Source organism: Homo sapiens, chromosome 11, assembly GCF_000001405.40.
Source record: "Homo sapiens chromosome 11, GRCh38.p14 Primary Assembly".
In the NCBI taxonomy this organism is placed as follows: domain Eukaryota; kingdom Metazoa; phylum Chordata; class Mammalia; order Primates; family Hominidae; genus Homo; species Homo sapiens.
In genome coordinates this window covers 115,736,096-115,763,012 of record NC_000011.10, presented here as the reverse complement: position 1 = coordinate 115,763,012, position 26,917 = coordinate 115,736,096, and the positions used below count along the sequence as shown (strand labels likewise).

The window sequence follows — 26,917 nt, the reverse complement described above, 5'->3', positions numbered from 1 at the left end:
GGGGAAGAATGACGGAAGGAGCCCCATCAAACTCAAGGTGCTGAGAGTTGCATGGAAAATATATCTCAAAAAAAAAGAAAAAAAAAGGTATACTATCACTACCAAAAAAGTGGCCAGGGAGGATATCAGGGTGCCCAAACATAGAAATATCCACTGCAAATAATAATTTACCATCCTACTCCATGTGTGAGATACAGGTTATTTGAGAGTAATGTTTAATAACGATATATCATCAAGGAAATCTCCATGAAGTCGCCCTCAAAACTTTTCAGCAAAGTGCCCACTTCCCCATATATTAGTAATATATTGATTACACCCATTATAGCACTTTTATCATCTGCCTTCTATTAGAGTTACTTACTTTAAGACTCTGTTACCTCCATCACAATTAAGCTCTGGGTAGTCAAATACAGGGTTATTTTTCTCCTCAACCCACACAGCACAAAGCACGCAGTGGGAAATCTGGGTGCTTCCCGACCCACACTGGCTCCCTGTATCCAGTTCAGCTCTGTTCTTGTTCTTCCCTTTCCTTCCCCTGACCACTTTATCTACTTGGGGTTAGACTGGGAGGGACTAATGGATGCGATGAAGTCTAAGGTCAGAGGTTCCCCGACTCACCCTCTCTCTTGCTAGCATCTGCCTCTGTTATAGCTTCTCTCATGTTGTACCTTGGGTTGTTTTGCTGGTTTCTCACCACTGTTACCTTGTGCCTAGAACAGTAGCTGTCTCCAAGAAAGCACCCAATTAAGTGGTATAACCACTACGAGTGATTCTCACTCATAATCGCCCCTCAGATTCTCAAAGAAGAGCCTCATCTATCAGGGCTACTGAAAGGTAAGGTACTCAGCCCAGGTGAGGGGTTCGAAATCTAGAGGGCTATAATGCAGAATACATAAATAGAGAAGGAACTGTAAAGCTCACTGTTGTTCCTTGCTCTCCATCAAGCCAGAGAAGATGCAGAGACAGTACAGGGAGCCTGACAGGCTATAGGGGGCAGACTGAGTTAGTAGAGCAGGGGATCTTCAGCTTGACTCAGCATGCAGTTGGTACCCATGGGGAAAGGGGAGGCCAACAATTAGTGGGGGGCTGGCAGCAAAGACCCTCAAAGGCAGAAAAGCAACACAGCTGTGGCTGTGAATGAGCAGCCTGGCAAACCATGATCTCAGTAGTGTCCTGAAGCCAAGAGGAACAGGCTCCACTCCCTGGGATGTGGGTGGGAAAGGGCCCAAGAGGAGGCCAGTATCTCAGTCAGATGGGACTGGAGCTCAGGGGGCTGTAGTGCTAATTAGGAAACTAAGGCAGAGTCCCAGCACTAGGAATGGAACCACTTTAGTGGTGATCAAGGGAAGGGTGTTTGCCACAAACATACTGGATCCTGAATCTGTGGGCAGACATCTGAGTACAGCACTTCCCCTACCAGTAAAAGGGAGGTGCTAGTGCCCTCCTAGCCCAATTAGGGCAGGCTCCGTAGCTGGGTGGGGCTGAGCTTGTAGGAAAAGGCCTACTAGGCAGTGCCCTGCAGGGCTGGGCAAGCCAGGACTGATGGCTGGGCCAGGTGAGAAAGATTTCCTGCTGTATTTGCAGACTGAATATGTGTCTGGGGCTAGGGGCTGAGCTGCTGCCAGCACCATCTGACCTCAAGGATCCCCCTAGTCAACAAGCAGCAAGAACAGGAGACTCCAGAGGCTCCCTCAGCTTTGGAGATAGCTCTGCAAACAAAACTCAGTTTTTAGGGGTTAATCCTCAGCCCCAGGAGGAGGCAGTGGGCCTCCTCTGAAGGGCAGAGTCAGCAAGTGGGCTGAGACTAAAGGAAAGGCCCAAGACTGCAGGCCTGAGATTAGTTTGGCAGCAGCTCCAAAGAGCAGCCCTTGAATCGCAGGGATTGTCTGAGCCCTCAAAAGCACTGGCTGCCTCCCACCAGCCTAGCTAATGGGGCTGAGCTGCTGGGGCCATGACCTCTGTCTACCCGGCTGATGGTCTGCTGCTCTGAATCTCACTCCCCCAGCACCCAGCAGGACCAAGGGCTCTGTCTAGCTTATGTGCATCGTGCCCTTGCATGTTTTCAGCACCTACTATGCGCGCAGCATCACACCTCCCCATCCACCTGCCTCCTGTTACTCTCACCAGCACGCTCAGTCAACCCTTGGGCTAATTAGTGATTAGGTCTACAGTAAGCATGCATGGTGGGGTGCAGAGAGTGGGGTGGCCAGCGGGTGATGAGTGAGGGGAGAAGAGAACAGGAGATAGGAGGTCATGGTCTGACCTTCTTCCAAAGCCCGGAATCCCTGAGTCTGTCTCTGGCAGCTGTGAAACAGAGGGAGCATGGGATCTGAACCGTGCCGCCATCTGGGAGGTCACACACACTCACAGCCAAACCCCCGGAAGGAAACTCGGGCTGAAATACACCGTTTGCTGAAGAGCAGGGCTGGGCACTGGTTTCTCTGCGTTCTGAATTTCTAGAAAGGGTAGGGTCTCCGTTGCCAGGCGGCGTCTGCCACCTCTTCCCACCGCGGCCCCTCCAGCCCTCCACCCCTTCCCCTGGGAGACCCCCTGTGAGGACCCTCAGCAAACTTCTGCAAAACCTGACGGGCCCTGGGTGCAGGGTGGTGTGGACGCAGATCTTTCAGGCCGAGGGGGGGGCGGCGGGAGGGTGGGCGTGGAGGTGCGAGAGGCGCGCAGCCTCCGCCTGCCCAGCTGTCTCTGCGGACCCCGCCGAGGGAGGGAGAGAAGCGCTAGGAAAAGGAAGAGGAGAAGGAGCTCGAGCGGGAGGCAAGCGAGAGGCTCTTTTGCTCCTCCCAAAGCAGGGGGCGGCTCCACTGTGCTTCTGATGACCCGGCCGCCGCCGCCGCCCTGCAACCGCTCCCCGGGACCCCTCAACGCTGACACTGATGACCCGCGGCGGGGGCGCTGGGCGCGGGGTGCGCAGGCCACTGGCCGCGGGCTCTCGGGCCCGCTCCTGCCGCCGGCTTCTGCTGCTTCCGCGGTAATGACACTCGGCGGAGCGGCCGCCATCTCTTCTGGTACTTTCACTGGAGGAGGGAAGGGTGGGGAGAGCCCTCTGTCCACCCCTGCCCTGCCCTGGCGCTGGTCCGCCACTGCCCGCTGCTCTCGCGCTGGTCCGCAGCTCAGCCGAGCAGCTCCCTTCATCTGGCCTCCCAGACCCTCACTCAGCCGCGAGAGGAGGAGCTCCGGCGACCTCGGGCCTTCCCTTAGGGTCTGCGCGGCCCTTACCCCAAACCCGCCCAAGGTAGAGGCGTGAAGGGGCCGGCGGCGATGCAGAGGCGGGAAGCGCATTGGGGAGGCGAGGCTGGAGAAGGGGACGCAGGGAGGCGGGGGGTGGACCCCCAGCATACTCCAGGAGCCGGCAGGAGCCAAACCCCAGCCCTCCACACAGGTATTCCTGCGGACCACGAGGTGCCACCCGTCCCTGGTCGCAGAAAAGACGAAGGGAAGGCCCAGCTTCCCTACCTCTACCTCCCATGCCGGGCGCCCAGCCTGCTCAACTGAACCCCAAGCCGCAGGTTAACCCTGCTCCAGCTTCTCCCCTTGGCTATGGGCAAACTCCTTTTCTCTTTCCCATTGAGAACCACCGCTCAAATTCGGAGGGCTTTCCTCCTTGGTGCTCAGAGCTCCCAAGATGGGTGATTCTCTGCCAGGGGTCCTTAGCTACCCACTTTGGACAAGGATGGACAGATGTTTTCTCAAGCTTGCCTAAAGCACAGCTTCTAAACAGATGAGCCCTCCCCACGTTCCCCGCAGATTGTCTGGCCTTCGAGGAAATAAAGATGACCGTAGCCAAGCTGCCCTGCTCCGCACAAAGGACCCTGGGCGCCCCATCCTTAACTCCCCTGCCTTATGCTTGAGATTAGCATATCCACCCAGCAACTCCTCTGCTCCAGACTTAACTTGACCACTGCAGTCCACACCGACTCTCCTATCCACCAGAACTGTGCACTTAAAATCTGCTGCACACAATCCCATACTTGCTTGAGTCTGGCTTTGTTCTCCAATAGTTTCAAATGCCTGTTTGACTCCCCCCGCCACCCCCACAGAGATAAGGTCATCACAAGCAGTAACTACTGCTTTGCTTGTTTTGATTCCCACAGAGCCGAGCATAGATTGATGTGGCATAAGTGCTCAATAAATGCCCATGGACTTGGCTAATGGATGGACTTGCAGGGGACACTGCCCCATCAGGAGAGAAAGGTAGCCTTACTCTCATCTGCCCCACCAAGAGGAACCTAAGGTCCTATTTCCTGGGGGTGTCTCAAAAATCGGCAGAGTCGTTCTCCCCCCACCATCCCTCCTTGCCTCCACTCCCCTCGGCCTTCTGGATCCCCGTGGGTTTGGAGAGGCCGATGCTTGTGGCTCTTACCAACATCAATTTGCAGTCTCCAGGATGCAACTTCACCCTATGCTGCGTTCATAAATTAATCTCCTGGGATTAGATTCTGTGTTTTAGTAACACTCCTGAGGCATTGTATTTACACATTAATAATAAAAGAAAAAAAGTGAGACAAGTTCTGACAACTTTCAATAACATTCAGAAATAAAGTGCGAGGCACGGAAGTGTCCAAAGTTAATTAAAAGCATTTGGTGCTGACGGGGGCTGGGGGTGTTGCCTGCCTAGCTCTGACAGGTGCTGTTTCTGAAATGCAATTTTCCTGTCTATAATGTACCTGATGCCTGCAGAAAAGGAGAAACCGAAATAAACTGAACTGGCAGCATGAGCTTGAATTTTCTCTTGTTTTGTTTTACAGTGCCGTGGACACTGCCAGAATTTGTCAAAGGTCCTAGGAAGAAAAGGCTCTTTCACCCCTCCCCTCAATGAACAGATGGCGTGTTTGGACTGTTCGCATTCGCTCCTCATAGGTGGGATCCTGGAGGAAGTTAAGGGGTGCTCCGTTCCCTGGGGATGGGACAGCAGCTCGCCTTTTTACTAATAGCTATAAGGGACTGTCAGACATTTACCTGACTAGACCTTCACCTCAGAGCTCAGAAGGGGAACAGCTCCAGAACTAAAAGAGAGAGCCTCTGGCAGACCCCAAAAGACAGCATGTGGAGTGAAGCTGGGCTTCCCTGCCCAATCACTAGGATCATTTATTGCACAAATACCTGTATTTTAAGCTGCAGATTATTGTGAATTTTTGTATTTTCTTCATTTCCATTTAGCTTTTTTTCAATTTTAGAATAGCCTTTCTCTAGATAACTCGAGGAAGTGGGAGACGGAATTTCCTTTGTTTCTGTCTTGAGCCCAAAGGGACAATTGAGTGTCAGGTATGACAGGGATAAAGGGAGAAACTCAGAAATAATGCTTTTGTTTTGTTTTGTTTTGTTTTGAGATGGAGTCTCGCTCTTGTCGCCCAGGCTGGAGTGCAATGGCATGATCTTGGCTCACTGCAAACTCCACCTCCTGGGTTCAAGCGATTCTCCTCCTCAGCCTCCCAAGTAGATGGGCTTACAGGCAAGCGCCATCACGCCCGGCTAATTTTGTATTTTTAGTAGAGATGGGGTTTCACCATATTGGTCAGTCCGGTCTTGAACTCCTGACCTTGTGATCCACCCACCTTGGCCTCTCAAAGTGCTGGGATTACAGGCATGAGCCACCGCACCCAGCCAGAGGAATGTTTTGGGTGCTACACGTGCAGCCCCTCATGACTGTATCTCCTCAGAGCTCTTTTCTTCACATTCCTGAGTGCTTTGTGTTTTGTTTATTTAAGGGACAAATGAATCTCTTCCCACGCCATGGGATTTCCCTTGATTTTTATATTGGGAGTGAAAAGATGAAGCATGAGACTCTTCAGCTGCATCTCGAACTGCATCTAATCCCAGCACATCTCTCTCAATCTTTGATTAAGTCTGTTCATCTAAAAGAGAGACACAGGGGAAAAATGGAAATGGGACTTTGGAAGAATGACCATCCACATTCCCATCACAGCCTGAGATTTCCTACCTGATTGAGATTTTCAGTAGATGGCCCTAGGTCTAGTTTCCCACTTTGGACCTGCTGCCCTTGGCTCCAATAGAGGACTTCCAAGTAACTAGGAAGATTTCACCTCTCTTTTGAAACATAATGGACAAATGTGTTTCTTTAGGATGAGAGGTGCACCTGGCTAGTCAATCTTTATTTTCCTAAAATAAACAGGATGAAAACTCAAAACAAAAAGAAATACCTCATGGGCAAAAGCTCTCCCAATACAACTAATACAGACACTCAACATGGCTTTGTAGAAACTGACCCCTCTCCCAAGTCTTATGTTTGTCAGAATTGCATGCCTATTTCAATCGAAGAAAAGTGATCTGATCTCTTCAGATGAAGGTGGGACTTGGAGATGCTGCTGCCTAGAGTTAACTTGCCAGAGAAAGGATAAGCATTCGGGAAGTGCCAGGATGGGGTATCAGCTGAACAATGGCAGGATCCCTTCTGCCAGTGGGCTGGCTCAGGGAGTAAACCTCCCCGGAAGGAATTTTGTTTCTCTCTAGAATCAAAGTGGGCAAAATGATCACCTTATTCGCCTGGAGTGAACCAGGTTGAAACTGAGAAGGCAGACATGGGTGATAAGCCAGATGAAGTCATATGTTATAACTAAGCTATGTACCTGTAACTTGCCTGGTAGTTTTTTCATTCTCTCTAAACAGGTCATAATAAGTGTTAGTCTGTGATCCACTATGGAGAGAGATTTCTGGAAAGAATAGAGGCAGTGGTAGAGGGTCCAAGGTTGTTATTTAAGGAGATGAATGTGGGTCAGGTGCCGTGGCTCACACCTGTAATCCCAGCATTTTGGGAGGCAGAGGCAGGAGGATTGCTTAAGGCCAGAGTTCAAGACCAAACTGGCCAATATAGTGAGATCCCCCCCCCATCTCTACAAAAGATAGAAAAACTTAGCCAGGCATGGTGGCAGGTGCTATAGTCCCTGCCACCATGGGACTACAGCTCCTGCAGTCCCAGCTACTCAGGAGTTGAGGCGGAAGGATTGCTTGAGCCCAGAAGTTCGAGGTTGCAGTGAGCCATGATCATGCCACTGCACTCCTCCGTGGGTGACAGAGCGAGACCTGACTCAATAATAATAATATTAATAATAATGATAATGCAACACAAACTATCTTTTACCTCTTGAACAATGAATGCAGATGCCATGACTACATCTGTTTGTTGGGGACCAGGGAGGCTGCCAGTGAGGATTCAGGGTGGAAGTAGTGTGTACCCAATACCTATTGTGAGATGTGGCCTGGGGAGCCCTGAGATTGCCTGGCCAGGCTCACTCACTACCCAGACACCCTCTTCCTGCATGGCGAGTCCCTCAGCCCCTCCAAGGCTCAATTCTCAGACATCGGAGTAATCCACATCCTCCATCTTGAGTTACTCCTCACAAGGCCTGCAAGTTTTCCTAGGAGGAAGGGAAGACAGGGTTGAACCCACACAATTCTAGAATCTAGAATTTGGAGGATTTCTAAACCATTTCTGTAAGTCAGCCCTTGAGAACTTGTAGATTTTCTCATCATTTGCAGCATGAGAGTCTGGAGTAGACTGTTTGGATTTGACTCTTGGTTCCTTGGGCAAGTTACTTAACCTCTCAGCTGTGTGTCAGTTTCCTTATCTAAAAAGTGTGGTTAATAATAACTGACCTCTCAGAGGTATTGTGAGGTTACTGTGATGATTAAATTAGTTGATTCATATAAAATGTTTAAAAGAGTGCCTGGCATTATTATTAATAGTAATAAGTTTAGCATAAGTCTTGCCTGCCAATAAGGAGCTGGATTGAATGACTACTTTGATTCTATTTCTTGGCCTTCTCTTCTCTGGACTAGGTGACCCCAACTTTCTCCTTACTCCTGAAAAATTTATCCCAGTCTGCTAAGGAAGAGAAAGCCCATGTGTGCACATACACACATGCACCTACACAAACATTTACATACAGTTTTGCTCTTCTATACAGAGTTAATAGAGCTACTAGAGTGTCTAGGAACCAATCTGAAAGAGAAAGGAAACACTGCTTTTTTTTTGTTTGTTTTTTGAGATGGAGTCTCACTCTGTCACCAGGCTGGAGTGCAGTGGCGCAATTGTGGCTCACTGCAAACTCCACTTCCCTAGTTCAAATGATTCTCCTGCCTCAGCCTCCCGAGTAGCTGGGACTACAGGCGTGCATCACCACACCCAGCTAATTTTTGTATTTTTAGTAGAGATGGGGTTTCACCATGTTGGCTAGGATGGTCTTGATCTCTTGACCTCGTGATCTGCCTGCCTCAGCCTCTCAAAGAGCTGGGATTACAGGCATGAGTCACCACGCCCGGCCGAAACACTGCTTATTACAATTTATAGGTTTATGTTCAAAAAGTTGCTAATCTTATTGCTGTGAACCCCTGCCATCTCTAGTCCTGCCCACCTATAGGTACTGCAGACCAAATTACAGATTCAGATTTGCCCAGTTCCTGTTCCTGTCTTGACCAATCCTAGTAACTTATTTGGGGCCCAGCCCCATCTTCAGTGGAAGGTCTAAAATTGGCCTTGCTTCCTTAAGCTGGGTACACAGTGGGCCCAGGACTAAGCCTCATGAAGCTTTTAGAGGCCCACTGAGATTAACCTTTCTCACCAGTGCTCACCTTGTCTTCCTAGTGACCATGGCTGCCTTCTGTCTAGTTCTAGAGTTGCACTCTAATTCTCTTCCAGCGCTGTTGCCCTGATCTACATATCTATCTCTTTTAGAACTTTCCAGCTTATGTGTCCAATGTCAGTCTTTCTTCCAAATAAATAGAACTTTATCTTGATGAATATTTAATGTTCAACCCACCCCTGGTCCCTGGCTAGAATCATCTCTGAAATGTCTAAAGCTCTGCCACTACCTGCACCAGGAGAAGCAATGTGTCACCACCAACCTAATAGCAACCATCAGCTTTGCTGGAGTTATCCATTCACCGAACTGAATCTATCAGCTTTCCTGAGTTCACTGGGACACTGATTTGGACCGGACACCATCACTTGAGAAACAGCGTTAGCACCAGGGTGAACACCACCAGTACCCGACCTGCCTGTAGTTAGCTTCCTCCTCTTTCCCTATTGACCCACAGATTAAGTTGCTGCATGCCCTGGGGCAACACCTGGGGGTATGACAACTGAAAACTAAGAAACTAAGTACTATACATCCAATTTGTCTGTGTTCACTGCCCACTTGACGTTTCTACTAGGATGCTTGCAAGATGCATCAAACTCCGTAGTCCAAGATCATACTCATGATCTTTTGCCCAAAACCATACCCCGCTTCCATTCTGATACTCCTCTAATCAGTTTTCCACACTGCAACCCAAGTGATCTTTTCAAAATGCAAATCTGTTCATCACACACATACACACTTAAAACCCTTCATTGGCTCCTCTTCGTCCTCAGGAGAAAGGCTCATATCCTTAACACAGGCTCCCCGTCCTGCGTGTTTGGCCCTGGATGCCTTTCCAGCCTTCCCTGGCCTCACTCTCCCTCTCCCCTGATATACTGCAGCCACCAGGGTCATGTTAGCACGTGGGTCACTCTGCAGAGAATTAGATAAAGGTGCCCCTTCTGGACAGCCCAGTTGGAAAAATGATGCCCTTTCCTCTAAGCTGATGCAGTGTCTCATGGGCGATCTCACTTGGCAAGAAAAGCAGGGCTGGATTTCAGCTCCTACTCTGCTTCCTCAGCCCAGCTGTGCCCCCCTGGTCCACAGCACAGCCTGTGCTGGCCAAACCAGTTGCCTGCCTTCTTTTGGGTACCCCCAAATACACCATGTTCCCTCCTCCCACTGGCTTTTGCTCTTACTATTTGCTCAACCTGGGATACTCTTCCTCTCTCTTTCTATCCAGCAATCCCCTACTTAACCCTCAGATCCCACCCAACCCTTACATCCTCAGGAAAGCCTTCCCGATCTCTCCTTCTTTCCAACCAGTTTAAGTTCCTTTGTAATACCCTCTCATCAGACAGGGCTTCCATTTCTCCTAATACTGATCCATTTTGGAAGCTTACACTCATTTGTAGAACGAATGTCTGACACCCTCATTGTATTACAAGCTCCATTAGTGCAGAGACCATGTCCTTTTCATCTCTCTCCATTGTAGTCCCAGAACTTAACACAGGGTCAGGCACATAATAGTTGATCATTAAATATTCATTAAGCACCTACTGAGTGCAGGCTGCTCTTTAGTAGATGGTAGTGTCTGGACTTTATAATCAGAACAACTTAAGCTTCCCAGAGGCATGATTAAGCACGTCAAAGAGGAAAATATTCTGTTCCACTTAATTATGCATTTTTATTTAAAAATAGAAGTCTTTATTAAAACAACAAAGCATAAATATTAAAGAATGTATTTAAATAACTTGTGTAATTTAGTGCAAGCTTTAAAGGTTCATAAACACTGAAAGGCAATTCAATGCCTTTTTAAATCGTTTTCTATCATTATCTCTACTTTATCTAATCTTGTCTCTTAACCCAGTTTGGAGGAGAAGTAATTCATTCTGACTCTCCTCATTTTGTCTCAAAACCTGCTAAGGCTTGTCCACAACTGCGGCATGTTTCTGGCCTCCCGGGCTTTAGATCAGATTGTAGCAAAAGCCTCTGCAGGTAGTTTGCATCTTACTCCACTGTGGGAGAGCTCCCACAGTTTTAATGGAGAAAGGTCCTTCTCATGAGAGTAAACATTTTGGATATCTATCACTCTTTCTCTTTGCTTCTTATCCTGGTACAGCAGAAAGAAGTCAGATCATTCAGTAACACAAGAGCATGGCTTCCATGCCACAACCCAGTGGTGGTCATTCTTTACCATTTCCCAGGAGCTGGCTTCCGAACCTGCCTTTTAGAGAAACTCTTCATGTGAAAACCTGTTTCTCCATTGTCAGGGTTGCTGATCAATAGCTTGATCTAGTTACCAGTTAGACACCTATATAACTGCAATTCCTCAGAACTTAATGTAGCAAACGATTAAGCTGATCCTAGCCGGGTCTATGAAAGAACAAATAGTGTGGTCCTACACTAGGTGTGGCCACCTGCCCATTGGGGATAAATGGCCCCTGCCACCCAGGTGGATCTGCTTCTGAGCTTAAACTTCCCTTCAATCTTTTTCCCATGGCTGTGTGTTTACAGGTGCACAGAGAGAAGCCTGTGTGGTGGTGAAAGCTAGAAAATAAGAAGTCCATCTATTCACAGAGTTGCAAAGAGGCCATTAATGCTAAGCTTCAGCAGTGGAACACAGAAAACGGCATTAAAGGATTTACTTTTCATGACCATAATTCACAGTTAATGTACATTTGATGTTTAATGTATGAACCAGAGGTGACTTCAAACTTGCGGGCCTTTTCTAAATAGCGTTTTAATCTAAGTTAAAAAAAAAAAAAAAGGTTCATACACTCAGTCTGTCAGAGAAGAGGGAGGGGAAAAAGGCAAAGCTAGGTGTGAGAATCCGAAGTGGGGGCAGGCTTTTGTTCAGTCCTTTATTGAGGTTTTACCTCTAATCTCTCCCTTTTTGATGCAATTTAAGATTAAGGAAATGAAAGGCATGGCTGACTGTGAATGGTTTTACAAACAGGACAGCCAAGGGGCCCTCAGAAGACAGTTTTGTAAGAGGCTTTGGGCTTCAGTCCCTAGGAAGGATGAGGTGGGAGGTGCTACAGGGCCCGAGTGCACGGGAGAGTGGCCCTGAAAGGGCTGGTCTGTCTGCAGAGAAACTGACCTTCTGCATCCAAATAGGAGGCAGTGGTGGCCACCACACAGCTCAGTGGGAATCAGAGTCAGGTGAGGGAAGCCAAAAAGCATGATGGTCAGAGCAAGGGGTGCCATGCTCTGCTGGGAGGAGCCCCCAGATTAAACATGCTGGGTCCAGGATCTATCATGTGATGTCACCTCTCAGGACAGCAGTTCCCTCATCCAGATAATAAGGTTTGCAGGCTAAATCAGTGATTTCCAATGGGCTCTGCTGAGACCCTAAGGCACAAACACACCCTCAGGTGCTCTGGCAGATACAGTAGGGGACTCACATGGAGAGACCCTGGCCCTTGGCCCTCAGCATTTTTCAACAAGAGCAACTCCACTGTTTTATAATGAAGAGTTCCACATAAGATTTTTTATACAGGGAAGTTTCCCAGTTAAAGATACAAACACTGAAAGGTAGGAGATCAGCTGATCCCTAAGATCCTTTCCAGATCAAGTCTAGAAGGGTAGATAGGTAGAAAAGACACCTAAATGGGCCTCCTCAAGGAAACAGTCCTCCAAAATGGGCAACAGAAATAAGAGTAGCACCTGACAGGTTGTAAAGGTTGCATTGCTGGAGACCAATGCGGTGGAGGGGTCGAGAGTGTCTCCTTGGAGCCCAGTTTATCAATTTCAAGAAGATGATTTTCTCCAGTAATGCTAAGCTGCTTCAGGTCAGGAACAAAGTAAGCAGATAGTCGGGGCTTTTTCCCAGGTAAGTTCAGTGGAGAGAATAAGGAAAAAAGGAGTTGAGGGTATCTGCAAGGGAATTGCTTTGTAGAGCTGGGATGTGAAAAGAAAGAAAGAAAGTGAGAGAATTTAGTGGAGTGTGGATGAGGGAAAAAAGTCTTTTTATCAATAAACTGTGCATAACTTCTAAAGTTCTCTTTAGCCCTAACCCCTTTATGTTTTCATGATTCTATTCTATCTCTTAACATGGCTGGACAGTGGAGAATTCGCTGCAGGAGGAGAGAGCCAATTGGAACTAGGCAAGTTAACAGGAGCTGCCAAATGGACTGATGGATAGAACCCATCAACAGAAACCTTGGAGCAAGCACTCCTGGAGATTCGTTGATTTGTTCTTTGTTCATTTATCCAGCACATTTTTGTTGAGTGCCTACATTGTATTTGACACTGTGGATTAAGGATCATTAAACAGATAAGTAGGGACTGTGCCCTCACAACCTAGTGAGGAAGTTCAAAGCTGAACATTTGTTACACATGTGATGCATGTTATCAAAGTGGAGGTGCAGACCATTCAGGGGGTGTAACACAGGGCACTCACTCATTCTAGGAGCACAGGGCCTTCTCCCCTGAGAAATTGCCTGGTTCTGGGGTCAGTGTGAGAAATGCAGGGACTCTCAAATCATTGTTGCCCTGTGTCTTCTAACTCCAAGCTGCTCTCTGCTTTTCTCCTCCTGCCCAATCCCAGCTCTGGTTTCCCTGTTTATCCAAGAAGAAGAAAGGGCTCCAAAGGGCTGTGGGAATGGGGAGAGGGCAGGACTACCTGCAGCCCGCTCCCTCCCTGTGAAAGTCTCGCCAGCCTTGTGGAATGTTGTCTTTCCGTAGGGCTTCTTCCACCTAATTCTTCAGAAGAGATTTGAAGGTCTTCTACCAACCGTGCTTCCCCCCTTCCCTTTTCAAAAAATTCCCTTACTTAGATTGCATTAATAAAACCGTATTGTCTGGATGAAAGGAGAAGATAAACCTGTTCTAGTATGTGAGGGACAAACCAGACTTGAGTATTGTTTGCAATTCTCATATTCAGAGAACCACAAAACACGACTGATTTTAAGGAGTGTGGCCAGGGGGGTGAAAGAACTTGGAAGCATGGCTCATGGAAAACATAGAGAACTGGAATGTTTCACCAGAAGACATAGGGTGGCATGACAACCCTGCTCCAAAGCCTGAAGGACTGTCCTAAGGAAGAAGACAAATGCCAATTAATGCCCCAACATAAGAGCAAAGGTCAATGGGCTAAAGTCAAAATAACAGATTTTTAAAATCTCAATATTTTAGAAAAAGGAATTTTATGAGAATTGCTGGAAATGGAGTGGAGACCAGAGGGAATTGAGAAGTGGTGAGTTCTCCATAGGAGAAATGCAAGCAGTGGCTCAACGGCCATTTAGCAGGGATATTTTTAAAAGGAAGACAAAGTTAGGTAAAGTAATAGGCTCAGGCTCTGTAAGACACCACTCACACTTGGCAGCACATGATTCTCTGTGCAAGTCAAATTAATCTGGTTTTCATCCTAAGCCTTCAGTCGCTGTCATCGTCTTTCCCAGGTTGTCTCTACCAAGCCCTCCAGAAGCCCTTCAAGACCTGGTATGGGAGGAACGTCTCTTTGGGGGCGCTCAGAGAGCCTCTCTGAGCTTTGGCTCTGTTTTGTCCACCACAGTGTCTGCCCAATTATGGCATCCGTGTTCTCCCCAGCTGAGAGCCACTGAGCACACTGGGCCATCTATCCATCTCACTGTTAAGTGCAGAAAAGAGAAAAAGCCTAATCTCTTCCTACCTCCTCTCAAAGTTTGAGGCTTATTTCCTCTCAAACTTCAAATCTTGAGTCTTGCCGCCAGAAACCACTGAGAAGCCACTGACTTGCCTCAGCAGCATACAAGTCTGTCAGCTCTAGAAGTTGATTGTGCACCCCAGATTAAGAAGAACTTGTGTTTCCAGCCTGTCTAAGATGGTTTCCACTCATATCACTTCAGGTGCAGCTCCCTCATATGCTACAGCATGTGGTACCTTTAAATGGCAAACTTTTCTAAAAAGGCAGAAAGCAAAATGGATTCAATCCAGGAGAACTAATCCCGGAAAATCAAAATCTTCCACATAGGGGTGATGATAAACAGATGCCTCTCATCTCGACAAATGAAAGGTCACCGACAGACAGTGCAGAGTAATTATTAAATAACTTCTCCCATTTGTTCAGGATCAGTAGCGACCTCATTACCTAGATCCAAAGACAATATCTCTAAATCCTGGGCATGGATCCAAAAAGGTCATTAATAACAGGAGAGTCCCCAAATTTGCAGGAAAAGGAAACCAGTTCTAATTACAGAAGCAAAGTATTCCACCCCAACCCTTTACATCAACAGTTTGCAAGTTAATAACAGCAATATGGATTCCTCAGGCACCACTTACAGCCACTTGACCAACAGCAGCCTGGTTAACCCAGCCTTTTCTCTGCAAACTGGATGCGCCTTTGTATGTCATGGGCAGGGAATCAAGCCAACTTGAGGGTGGTTTTCTTATTGTCATTTCTCATGGCTTCAGGCCAGAGGCGAAGGACTGGAGCAGAGGCTCAGATTCCTGGCCCTTTGCCCAGATAACTGGACCTTAAGAAGAGCAAGGAAGGGCCGGGCATGATGGCTCACACCTGTAATCCCAGCACTTGGGGGGCCGAGGCAGGCGGATCACGAGGTCAGGAGATCAAGACCATCCTGGCTAACACAGTGAAACCCCATCTCTACTAAAAATACAAAAAATTAGCCGGGCATGGTGGCAGGCGCCTGTAGTCCCAGCTACTCGGGAGGCTGAGGCAGGAGAATGGCGTGAACCCGGGAGGTGGAGCTTGCAGTGAGCCAAGATTGCGCCACTGCACTCCAGGCTGGGCGACTGAGTGAGACTCTATCTCAAAAAAAAAAAAAAAAAAAAAAAAGAGCGAGGAAGGTGAAGGATAAAAGACTACACACTGGGTACAGTGTGCACTTCCTGGGTGATGGAAGCATCACAGAAATCCCCACTAAAGAACTTATCCATGTAACCAAACACCACCTGTTTCCCAAAACCCTACTGAAATTAAAAAAAAAAAAAAAAGAAGAAGAAGAGGGAGGTGAAGATTTAGGTCACCTCGTGGGAAAGAGCTGCCTTTAGTCCTAGCCTTGGCTCTCCAGGCCCCTTGGAACGAGAACAAGCCTACCCTGGGGGTTTGGCTTAGGAGGGTAGCTGTTCTTCTTACACCATCTTGTTAACCTGTCAGTCAACAGGCACCTTCTGCTTCCTCAAACTGGCTGCCCCTGACTTTTGAACTAGGAATCCCACAGTCCTCAAAGAGAGATTAGATTTTGCCGCCTATCAGAGGAAAGACAAAAACCACAGCAATTTCATGTCCCTGCCTCCTCTGTTCTCCATCTCTAAAGCAGCACAGCCATAGTAGTAAAACATGTAAGAATTCAGGCTCTGGAGCCAGACAGAGCCAGTGTAAAGCCTGTCACTTACAGCTAGAGGGCTTAGGCAAATCTCTAAGCCTCAGTTTCTCACCCACAAAATGGGCATAACAATTTATGGTCTAAACAGGGACTCTGAGAGTGAGAGGAAGGTGCCCTCAATAATTACTCTGAAGCAACAGGCACAAATCAGAAGGAACAAACCATGATGCATAGTTACTCTCTTGAGGAGGGTCCTATGAAGATCAAATAAAAGAATATATGTAAAATGCTTATCACAGTGCCTGGTACATGGCACATAGAAATCATGCTGCATCGAATGGATGCAGTGGCTCACGCCTGTAAACCCAACACTTTGGGAGGCCAAGACGGGTGGATCACCTGAGGTCAGGAGTTCAAGACCAGCTTGGCCAACATGGCGAAACCCCGTCTCTATTAAAAATACAAAAATTAGCTGGGCATCGTGGTGCGCTTCTGTAGTCCCAGCTACTTGGGAGGCTAAGGCAGAAGAATCCCTTGAACCTGGGAGGCGGAGATTGCAGTGAGCCAAGATCATGCCACTGCACTCCAGCCTCGGCAACAGAGCGAGATTCCATCTCAAAAAGAAAAAAGAAAAAAAGAAAAAAAATTTAAAAAGAAAAAGAAAAAGAAAAAGAAATAGTGCCGCATTGACATCACTATCCTGCCTTTCCAAACTCCCAGACTGCCAAAAGCGAAATAGGAGCCCGGATGGATTACCCAGGGGCTGCTTCGATTTCCTAGACCCCATCTCACTTCCTCTTAGGCCCTTCGCCATCCTCACTTCACACCCAGTGGTGCCGGCAGGATGTGTGTCACTGGGGGCACGTGGGATGGCTACCCATCAACATGCAATGTCATAAAAGCAGAACCATTTTGGGTCATGGGGTGTCCTTGGGAAACAGGCTGACATTCCCCATGTTAAGTCTGAAGGATCATCACACAGCCCATTTCAGGGTTAGTTCAGTGAATGGATCTGATGAATCTGATTAAGCCCTGAACATCCCATTTCCACGTCACTTGGCTCCGTGCTCGAGGGGCACCAGGCTCTACGCAGGGGCGGCCCCAAATGTACCAGATAATTAAAATCATCTCTGCCCTGGCTGATTGCTCCCCCCATTACTCTCGCCCATTACTGGTGATGCAAACAATAAATAATTTAATAACCCAGGTTGAGTACACTCTGGTTCCAAAACAAAGTGTTTTAATTCTCCAGTGTGCCTGCTTTCAGCATGACTGTAATTCCATTTCCCTTCACTTGACTGGGCCTTTTGCTGCTTTTTAGACTTCTCGTATTTCTCCCCAAGTTTTCCCCACGGGGCCCTGACAGTTGCATTATAGCAGGGCTGGGCAGCCAGCATGACATCACTCACTACTCAAGTCAGCAGCAGCAGCAGCGCAGTGACATGTACTCATTAGCCGAGCAATCTGCCCTGCGTCTCGATGGCGATGAAAATCTGTCCATGTGGCCGAAGGCAGGACTGCTGCCCCGGGGAACCTGGGTCCTCCTTTTTCCCCTCCATCTTTCTCTTTCTCCTGCCTGCTTTCCTGTAATCTTCCCAGCCCTGGTGATGGGGAAATGCCTGAAAAGGGAGAAAGGCACTGGAGAGGGTGGCGGGAAATGGCCCCTATCCCTCGCCCTGCAGAGTTGGGTCTGACTCGTCATCAAACTCTCATCCTGGTGCTGAAGGAAAGATCTCCCTCACTCCCAGCTTTGGCTGAGGCCTAAGAGAACCCAAGCCCCATAGAGAGATCAGATTCTGCTACCTTTCAAAGGAGCGCCAGGACCACGCATACTCTCACTCTGGCCAAGAGAAACCTCCCTGCGTGGCCCTCCCATCGCCTGCCCCCACCTGCAATCCTTCCACCTTTCAGAACAGCAGCAGAATATGCTGATGTGAGAGTCTGGTGCCCTTGCCTGAAGCTGAGGGGGGCCAGGGAGCAGCAGCTGCAGGGGAGGAGCAGGGGTAAAAGGAAATGCACCAATGGAGCTTTCGTTTAAATAAAGAGCGGGGAAGCATTGTGCTCCATTGATTACAATTTTTTTTTCTGAATGTTGTGACATTTGCAGGAAGGCTAATTTATTCAAGCATGGAAATCTTTAAAAACTTAATTAAGTTATTTCTGTGATTTTCCATGCCTTATTGTTTCGAGTTCACATTTACTTTCATCCTTGTTAATAAAAAATAAAAAAGTGGGGAGGGGCTGGAGAGGGAAGAAAGAGAGAGAAATGATCTCACAGCACCTCCCAAGACTAGATGCTTTCTAGATTCTCCATTTTCCTGCACGAGGCTTCAGCGGGTCAGGGCAAAAGGGAGGCAGGGATGTGTCCTCTCATGTCAGGATCCAAGTCAGGCTCTGTCTCCACTAAGATTGGTTGGGGATTAATGCAGACCCCTTGCCTAATCCTCCGGGCACTGTGGCACCTGTAGCAAGCTTGGGTGACTGTAAACCCTGGCATGATTTCATATAAAATAGTACTGATGCATAACTGTGATGCGTCTCCCCCAAGGCAGACTTGGCTCTGCACTCTATAGGGTATCATGGGGTAGCATGATGGGGGAGTTCTGGAATCAAGCTTGAAATGCAGATAGCCAGGCCCAGTTCTCTACGAGGTCAGTTGCCAGAGCCAGATGTCTTTCCTGGGCAGCTGTGGTGCTTAGAAATAAAACCTTGAACCTCATCAAAGATAGGATTTTCTCCAGCCTGGGCCCCAAATCCCTAGAAGTTGTGCTCATTCCTTTCTTCTAAAGGGAGTCCTAAGAATGCTCATGTACCCTCACTCAATTACAGATTGGGTAATGCCCCTGCCTGAGCCACTAGAGACTGTGGATGACTAAGATGCCGGGGCAGGAGTGGGATAGAGCCAAGAGCAGACCAAATCAAGAAACACAGATGCAAGAATTTCCATTAGAAAATAAAGTCCATGCTGGCAGGAAGAATATGCAGAAGCTATTCTGCAATAAACATTCATTTATACAAATACACAAATAATAGGTTTCTGTGGTTAATTTGGTTCCCACCCTGGGGGTAAGTGCATCGTAGGTTGACTGGAGAATGAGTGGGAAGGAGAGAGCACTGGGATTTCATGTGAGGACAGGGTATGGTTGGGGTAAAAGGAAGCAACACCTCTCAAGTGCTGATCCGGAAAGACGGAGAAGGTGGGACTTAAAGCAATGCGGAAGGCTGGAACCCATCTGGCGTCCAGGCTGCGCTCACTGCCTTCCTCCTGGGGTGTGCCCGGCTGAAGCCTTTCTGCAAGTGATCCCAACTCAGAGCACATGAGAACCAGAACTCTCTGCTGAGGGTATCCTCGGGTTTCCTAAATCAGTGCTTTCATCTTCATCTCAAAACTGCCTTATTGAGGAAATACAATCCCTACAGACGTCACTGGAGTACCTCCCTTTGATTGAAAAGAAAATATTCCTATTGAACATATGGTGCCATGTAGCCCACCCCAAACATTTAATGGACTCTGCTTTGTCCAGGACATCAGACTCGCATCCCCTGCTGTGGCCAGAACCCAGGTCATCTGTATTCTGATGACATTTGCACATATTATTTTTAAGTCATTTGTCTCACCTGATATTGTGAGTCAAGAACTTTAATAGGAGAAATTTATGACTTGTCTCTTCCAATCAACATAAGAGTTCACGGCAGTGTTCAGTGCACTATACTAATGGATATTGCTTTCAACTGGGTGTTGGGTTTAAAAAAACAAATCCCTCTCAAATTCATTAGCCTGTTCCTTCTGATCTATTAACAGGAGCGGTGGCCATTGCCCTCCACCCAGGCTGTCTGCTAACCCAGTGGGTCTCTAGGTGTGGTTCTTAAGAGGCCTCCAGGTGGTCTACCAGCTAATTCAAATGGAAAATTACACAAGAGTGCCTTTTCTTAAAGTGCAATCTCCAGAGCAGATTTGAACCTACATTAAAAAGGCCCAAAATGAACATTTTCAAAATTATAAGGTCAGTAATGGTTATTTACCCAGGCAAAAGTTTCCCTGGGCCATTACAAGGTTTTTGTAGTAATAAGTGAGTACTAGTGAGGTGCCCGGAGCCTGGGCCCTTCTGCTGCTGAGGACTGGCGGTTGGGATGTCTGGGGAGCCCTGTCTGTGCAGGCTGTCTGGGCATCAGCCTTAAGCAAGGCAACCAAAATGTCAAGGTTCAGAGAGAAGCGGCTTCAGCTGTCAGTCCACCCATTTCTTTCCAATAAGAGGAACGCACAAAGAAAGAAAATAACAATAAGAAAAATAGATTGATGAAGATGGGAGAGACATTCATCAACTGGTTTTGTAGAAACAGAGAGCTGGAAGGCTGAGGTCGTGTGGCCCACCCACCTCCCCTGAGCAGGCTTCTTCTCCCGCTCTTGTCAACACAACATGAACCCTGAACTCAGTGCCTAATGGCACATCGCCCTGTGCATGGGGCACAGCCTGCACACTCTGTACAGTGGTGACCCAGACCCTGCCTTGTAAGTGCTTGTCACCTAGGGGAGGGAGCTCAGAGCTTCTGTGAGGGAAGGGGAAAAAGGCAACATTCAAACAAAAGGCTCTCTGGGCATGTTAGCCCTTGGTTGAATTTCTGCCAGGACGACAAGGAATTGGGAGCAGAGGCTACTCCTCCAAGTCCATGGGAACCTCAATTCTCTGCAGCACCCCTCTTTAGGGTCTCTTGAACACACCAGTGCTCTTCTACAGGTCGATGGAAACCTGAGGTGCACTGTTGGGGGAGGCCTGTTAGCACTCCGACACCATCACAATCACGTGCCCTTCACTAGGCTGTGTTGTCCCCAGGTTGGCTCACGAACCTTCTGCTAGTCTGTTCTCTCTTCCTGCACATCCCATCTTGTCTCAGCAATGATCAAGCGTAGCTCCTCACATTATCTAGCCCTCCTCTGGGGGCCCTCCGCATTTCCCATGTATTGCCCACTTTTTTGACTAGAATGAAATGGCTCTTTGCCTTTTTTCCGTCAGACACATACCCTAAACTCTAGACTTCTACACCTCCTTGATCTCGCCCTCTTCATTCTCCCCATTCCTCCATACGGGATGCTCTCAAACTTTAGCACGCATCAAAGTCAACTGAAGGGCTTGCCAAAACGCAGAATGTCGGACCGGGCCCCAGAGTTTCTGATTCACCAGATCTGGGGCGGGGCCTGAAAATGTGCATTTCTAATGAGTTCTCAGGTTGTGCTGATCCTGCCGGTCTAGAAGCTACACTGTGAGAATTGCCACTCTATATCTAGTATGAGTCCCACCTACTCCTCTCTGGGAAGCCTTGGGCATGCTCGCAAGCTTCTGTCTGTGTTGGGTGCATCTCGCCCAAGGGGCCACACTCCCTTTATCCCTGCCACAGAATCTTGTCGGCCTTGCCTCTCCCTTCCCTTTGCGTTCGCTGAGCCCAGCCCCTGCGGCTTTACAGGCTCCGGCCACTCCTGAGCTGCCATCTCCACCCATGCATGTGGCTTCTTGCCTTTTGCTTTCCTCTCACTCCCTGTGTTTCCTCACATCCATCTCTGTCTGCCAGATTCTCACATTCAGGCTTCCTCTGGCATCTATCCATCATCCTCATCCATCTCACTGTGCAGATATTTACATTTCTAAAGCCCATTGTGTTTTTATGATTCCTCCTACTTCAGCCAAACAAGGATTTTCCTCTGAAACATACTCACAGTTAGGCCATGGGGTTAGGGAGGGAGGACACCGTACCCATTTGGAGTAACCCCTTTCGAGGCTGTTTATTCATCAAGAACAAAGAGTGGTTTCGGCAGGGATGGAGAGCAGACACAGCAGTGCCATGCTTTTGACTACCTGTCCCACTCAAGGACACACTAGAAACCCAACGGATGGGTTGGGTCCTATTGATCCTTTTTAATTGTATTGAATTGACTTGGAAACTTCTCCCAAAGGCCTTATCATGGGTATTTATTTGCAATACTCAAGGACCAAGGAAAAAATATGTAATATTTTTTAATTAACCCTTGGTCCCTGGAAAGCAGAATCATAGAGGATCGTGTTGTGAGCATGGACTCTGGTTGTGGGTTTCCAGGTTTGAATCCCATCTCTGCCCCGACCACATATGTGATCGTGAGCAAATACCACACCTCTCTAAACATCGATGTCCCCTCCTGCAAAATGGGCATGATGCCCCAGGGCAATGTCCAGAGAATTAAATAGGATGACATACCTAGCACGTAACACCTGTGGCTCACACACAGGACTCAGTAAATGGTACTAACATTAGTATCCTCTAGGTGTGCCACATCCTGGAGCCTCAGAATCTGGGTACAGAGACTGTATCCGGATTTGAGCAAAACCATGGATGGGTCACCTTCTACCCACGGACTGATCCCACCCCAGGCTAGAGAACCCTGGGTTTTCTCAGTTAGACAATAGCCATTCCCCATTTTGCTCTGAGCCATCAAATCCCCAGCACTTAACTTAAAAGCTTTGTGCTTTGGTTTTTGTCTTTTTTTTTTTTTAATAGAAAAAAAAGTCCTATTCTTGTCTGTCCAGTGCTTTTCCAGCAAAACAGCAAGTCAGCACTAAGATTCTCCTTGGTCAGCACAATGTGTGTTGCAGTGGGAAAATTTGGGGCAGTTTGAGGAGGCCCTAATGAGAAGGGAAGTTAGGGGTTGTCTGGGCACTAGCCAATTTCCTAGGTGTCCTGGAGATTCCTTAGGAGTCATACTTCCTCTTTCCTTCTACATCCCTTCTACTTCCTGACATCCATGAAATTCTCCCATGAAATTCTCTTGCAAGACAAGACAGAGGTCTCAAGAGAAGTCAGAGATAGGAAAAGCATTTCTTCCAGCCATGGCCTAGAGTCTGATGACCAAAAAGTTGCAACCATCTGCATGGACACTGGAGCCATTTCTTTGAGGGCCTATCTTCCAGGAATTCTGTGCCTGCCGCTTCCATAGCAGGGAAAACATAGGTTAGATCACCACTCCCCCGACCATGACCAGGGCACTCTCAGAATGTCTTGCCCTCAAGGACTTGGCTCACTAGCCACAAAGAAGTACATGTCAAGACCTGTTGGCCACTTTCCACCCTAAGGAGGCCTCATTCTTATCTCTGCTACGTCTCCACTTGCACAGCAGAATGTGAAGGACAGAATAAGAAGCCTGTTGCCTTGTATCAGCCAGGGCAGGCAGACTCAGAAGGGCTGGGGAGCACTTATAATACAGCAGCTCAAAATCAGGCCCTACAAAGGCATGGTGGGGGAAAGAACACAGAGAGTGAGGCCAGACAGGTCTGATTTGAGATCCAGTCTCCATCATTTTGATGAATTGTGCAAGTTACTTAATCTCACTGTGCATCAATTTTCTCATCTAAGAAATGGGGATAATGACTACCACTTCGCCGAATTTTTCTGGGGTGTATATATGTTGCATAAAAGCACTAGCATGGGTGCTGGGTGCAGAGTAGGCACCCAAAACTCTACAGGGCTTGTCCAATAAATTGGGGCTTTGTGATTATTTAAAATGGGCTGCAATACTGATAAGTTTCTCTGATGCCAGAGTCAGAAAAAAAGGTCAAATTCAGCGCCCCAAGTACCTTTAGCTACAACTGGCCTAAGCAAGCTGGAAAGCAATTCCCAAGTTATCCGGGCTGCTCTTGCTCCTGCCGGCTAATCCCTAACTGCATTTGTATTCCTTTGCAGCCGGCCGGCCTGTGCATATGGAATACATTTTCTTTGGGTGTCTCACCATTAGCGTTTTCATTTCTGCTTAGCATCAGGGACTTTGCACATCACTGGCCTTCCAGACTACTAAGCCCGTCTTTGTGTAGGCTTGCTTTGTTCTCTCATTTCCTGATCAGCCAGGAAGCATTTCTGGGCAAGAGCTTTTGGAGGAGGGGTTTTGCCTGGCAGCTTCATACACTTTGAGTTTTGGAGAAGGATGAATCAAGTACCACCTCATACACAGGTCTCCTCTCTCCCTCTCTGTACACATGGCTGCCTGTGGATTAGATACAGCCTTCTTTCCTCCCCAAGTTTTCTAGCACTCCCACATGTAGATCTGCTAAGCTCTGCTAATAAACACAAAGAAATTAGCTGCTATGTTCAAAGCTTATGCTATCAGTCAGCTGAGCATGACTCTGAAAAGGCAACCTTCCACTTAAAAGAATATAATAATTCACAGTGCTGGCAAAGGTGCAGTGAGATGGCACTGTCATAGCCACTGATTAATGAGATTGTAAATTGATGTGACACTTCAGGTGGGGGGAGTTGAGGGGGACAATTAACCAGCATATAACAAGAGCCTTCGAAACAGTGATTCCACTTCTAGGAAAGTGTCTCCTAAGGAAACAATCAGAAATTGTGGTCAAAGATTATTGTAATACAAAGATGTTCATTGCAGTAATGTTTACAATGGTGCAAATTTGCAGGAAATCTAAATATCCAGTTATAAAGATTAACTAAATGTATATAAATCCACAAAATTGAATACTGTGAAACTATTAAAAAAAGATATTGTAGAATAATACGAAAGGGACAGGAATAGGCTCATCATATAATATTAAATGAAAAAAGAAACTATAAAAATGCAAATATAATATGACTTGAATTTTATTTTAAGATAAAAAAGAAAAAAAAAGATTGGAAGGAAATTCCCTAAAATATTAACAGTGATTACCTTTGGTGGTATGATTGTGGATAATATCCTCCTTTCTCCTGTAGGTTTTCTATATTTTCTTTAACAAATACGTACTACAAATCAGAAAAGAATGACAACCATGTAAACAAAAGTGTTGCTTTCCTCTCCAGGGTCTGTGACCACAATAGAAAAGCTGGCTTGCTCCAAAGAACCATCTTCAACCCTGACCTCTTAAGGCACTGCAGGGAAGATACTATCTGGTCCCAGTTGGCCTGGTCTGCTCCCTGACAACCCTGTGATCAAACCTGACCAAGCCTGGTTGTCTAAGGGGACAGAGCTGGGCTGGCCATGGTCTCCTGCAGCCAGGCACATCCAGGAGCCTTTTCTAAGCCTCCTGTTAGCAGGCTTTTCTCCTGTCTCTTAGGTCACTGCAGATTGATTCATCTCACTTCACTGTGGTTTACAATTTGCAGTTCTTGACCCTTACATTCTCCCCTGGTGCTGGAGCCATGTTTCTGCAATACCAACAAACCAATGGCAGCAAGCAGAGAATCAGCTGCAAGCCGTGTATCCTCATGGCCTCCCCAGCAGGCTCCTTGCCCTCTCACTTCCTTTCTGTCCCTATCCAGCATCCACACACAAGGCTGCTTCTTTAAGGAGCCCTATGGGGTCCTACTCAAGATATGTGGGGAAAGGGAAGGCAGGCCTGAGATCTGGCCAATGGGAATTCAATTCGGTGCAGCAAAGGTCCTTATCACTGGTCAGACTAAGAAACAAGAGGCTTGACTGGAAGAGTCCACAAGGTCTGGGATTTTATACATTATATTTCAGTGTAGAGCAAAGAAGTCAAAATTTCTGGCCCAGATTACCATACTGGGTGAATTCAACAAGCCAAAAGTCTGGGCATCTGATTTAAAATGGGCTATTTGCAGAATAACCGTTTTTATTATACAAACAATGTCAGCAGAAGATGCCCCTGGGAGTTAGCATGGGTGTCTATCTATCCCTCTGTCCCTTATTGCCAATCAGGAAAAACACAAAAATTTTATCGACTCAACCTTCAAGGCCTCTGGCCACCTGGTTCCCACACCCTTATTTACCCAATTTCTTGCCTCTCCTCCACATGGGCTCCTGTCTATAAAATCCACTCTCTCCACTCCCTTCCTCTGACATCTTTTTCAATTTGTTCTTTTCCCCATCCCCTTCCAATGTAATTATGAGCAATTAGACAGAGAGCGAGGAAACCTGAATTCTCATCCTCTCTTTCTCATTCACTAGCTTAAAACCTTAGGCCAGGCCTGGGCACAGTGGCTCAAGCCTATAATCCCAGCACTTTGGGAGGCCGATGGGGGCAGATTGCTTGAGCCCAGGAGTTTGAAACCAGCCTGGGCAACATAGGAAGCTCCCGTGTCTACAAAATAAAAAAAAAATTAGCAGGCCGGCCACAGTGCCTCACGCCTGTAATCCCAGCACTTTGGGAGGCCAAGGCAGGCAGATCACCTGAGGTTGGGAGTTTGATACCAGCCTGACCAATATGGAGAAACCCTGTCTCTACTAAAAATACACACACACACACAAAAATCTGGGCATAGTGTCCAGTGCCTGTAATCCCAACTACCTGGGAGGCTGAGGCAAGAGAATCACTTGAACCCGGGAGGCAGAGGTTGCGGCGAGCCAAGATCATGCCACTGCACCCCAGCCTGGGCAACAAGAATGAAACTCCATCTCAAAAAAAAAAAAAAAAAAATTAGCCAGGCATCATGGTGCATACCTGTGGTCCCGGCTACTTAGGGGGCTGAGGTGAGAGGATCACTTGAGCCCAGGAGGTGGAAATTGCAGTAAGCCTAGATTGAACCACTGCACTGTAACCTGGATGACAGAGTGAAACCCTGTCTCAAAAGAAAAAGAAAAAAGAAAAACCCATAGGCCAGTCACTAACTTCCCTGAGCCTCAGTTTTCTGATCTGAAAGAAAATACAGGGGTTGAACTAAAAATCGAAACACCTTTCCAATTCTTACATTCTATAGCACTTTTCAGAGCCGAGTCAGAAGCCTTTTCTGAGTGAGCCCGCCCCTAACTGATGATGCCCACAGGTGCCCTCTGCAGTTCACTTCACAGGGTGGAGGAATCTACCCTAACTTGTTCTACATTTCCTGTGTGTATTTGGTTCTTTGATTGTTTTATTTTGTCCAGGTATAAAATATCTTTGGAACAATGACTGTGTTTCTTCACAACCCCCATATACCATGTTCAGAACACAGGAAACAGTCAGGGAAGGTTGTTAGCTCTCTGACTAATGTCTACCCCTCAGGCAGACATGAAAAGGGACTCATTTAAATTTGGTTTCCCTGCCAGAATTGTCAGGCCTCAGTGGCCTTGGGAAATCACCAAGAAGGAAAATCACCATTTATCCTAAA

General features: G+C 47.4%; 2 long non-coding RNA genes across 2 annotated transcripts in view, besides 4 other annotated features; one reads left to right on the top strand and one right to left on the bottom strand.

Moving 5' to 3' along the window:
• Window positions 1-26,917, bottom strand: part of LINC02698 (long intergenic non-protein coding RNA 2698) — a 242,222-nt gene that overhangs the window by 138,562 nt on the left and 76,743 nt on the right. The gene's annotated exons all lie outside the window — the stretch shown is intronic.
• Window positions 2,813-7,682, top strand: LINC00900 (long intergenic non-protein coding RNA 900). The gene is made up of 3 exons (NR_034148.1): window positions 2,813-2,983; window positions 4,761-4,872; window positions 5,721-7,682. It is a non-coding gene; the product is annotated as a long intergenic non-protein coding RNA 900 (long non-coding RNA).
• Window positions 3,219-3,753: an enhancer, noted in NCBI's record as "H3K27ac-H3K4me1 hESC enhancer chr11:115629978-115630512 (GRCh37/hg19 assembly coordinates)". NCBI's record gives its function as "activates a minimal SCP1, AML or CMV promoter by ChIP-STARR-seq in naive H9 embryonic stem cells {active_cell/tissue: H9 hESC(naive)}" and the evidence as "EXISTENCE:reporter gene assay evidence [ECO:0000049][PMID:30033119]".
• Window positions 4,933-6,132: an enhancer, noted in NCBI's record as "BRD4-independent group 4 enhancer chr11:115627599-115628798 (GRCh37/hg19 assembly coordinates)". NCBI's record gives its function as "activates an origin of replication core promoter dependent on BRD2, P300/CBP, MED14 and CDK7 cofactors, and independent of BRD4, by STARR-seq in HCT116 cells {active_cell/tissue: HCT116}" and the evidence as "EXISTENCE:reporter gene assay evidence [ECO:0000049][PMID:35650434]".
• Window positions 20,752-21,294: an enhancer, noted in NCBI's record as "H3K4me1 hESC enhancer chr11:115612437-115612979 (GRCh37/hg19 assembly coordinates)". NCBI's record gives its function as "activates a minimal SCP1, AML or CMV promoter by ChIP-STARR-seq in naive H9 embryonic stem cells {active_cell/tissue: H9 hESC(naive)}" and the evidence as "EXISTENCE:reporter gene assay evidence [ECO:0000049][PMID:30033119]".
• Window positions 21,295-21,837: an enhancer, noted in NCBI's record as "H3K4me1 hESC enhancer chr11:115611894-115612436 (GRCh37/hg19 assembly coordinates)". NCBI's record gives its function as "activates a minimal SCP1, AML or CMV promoter by ChIP-STARR-seq in naive H9 embryonic stem cells {active_cell/tissue: H9 hESC(naive)}" and the evidence as "EXISTENCE:reporter gene assay evidence [ECO:0000049][PMID:30033119]".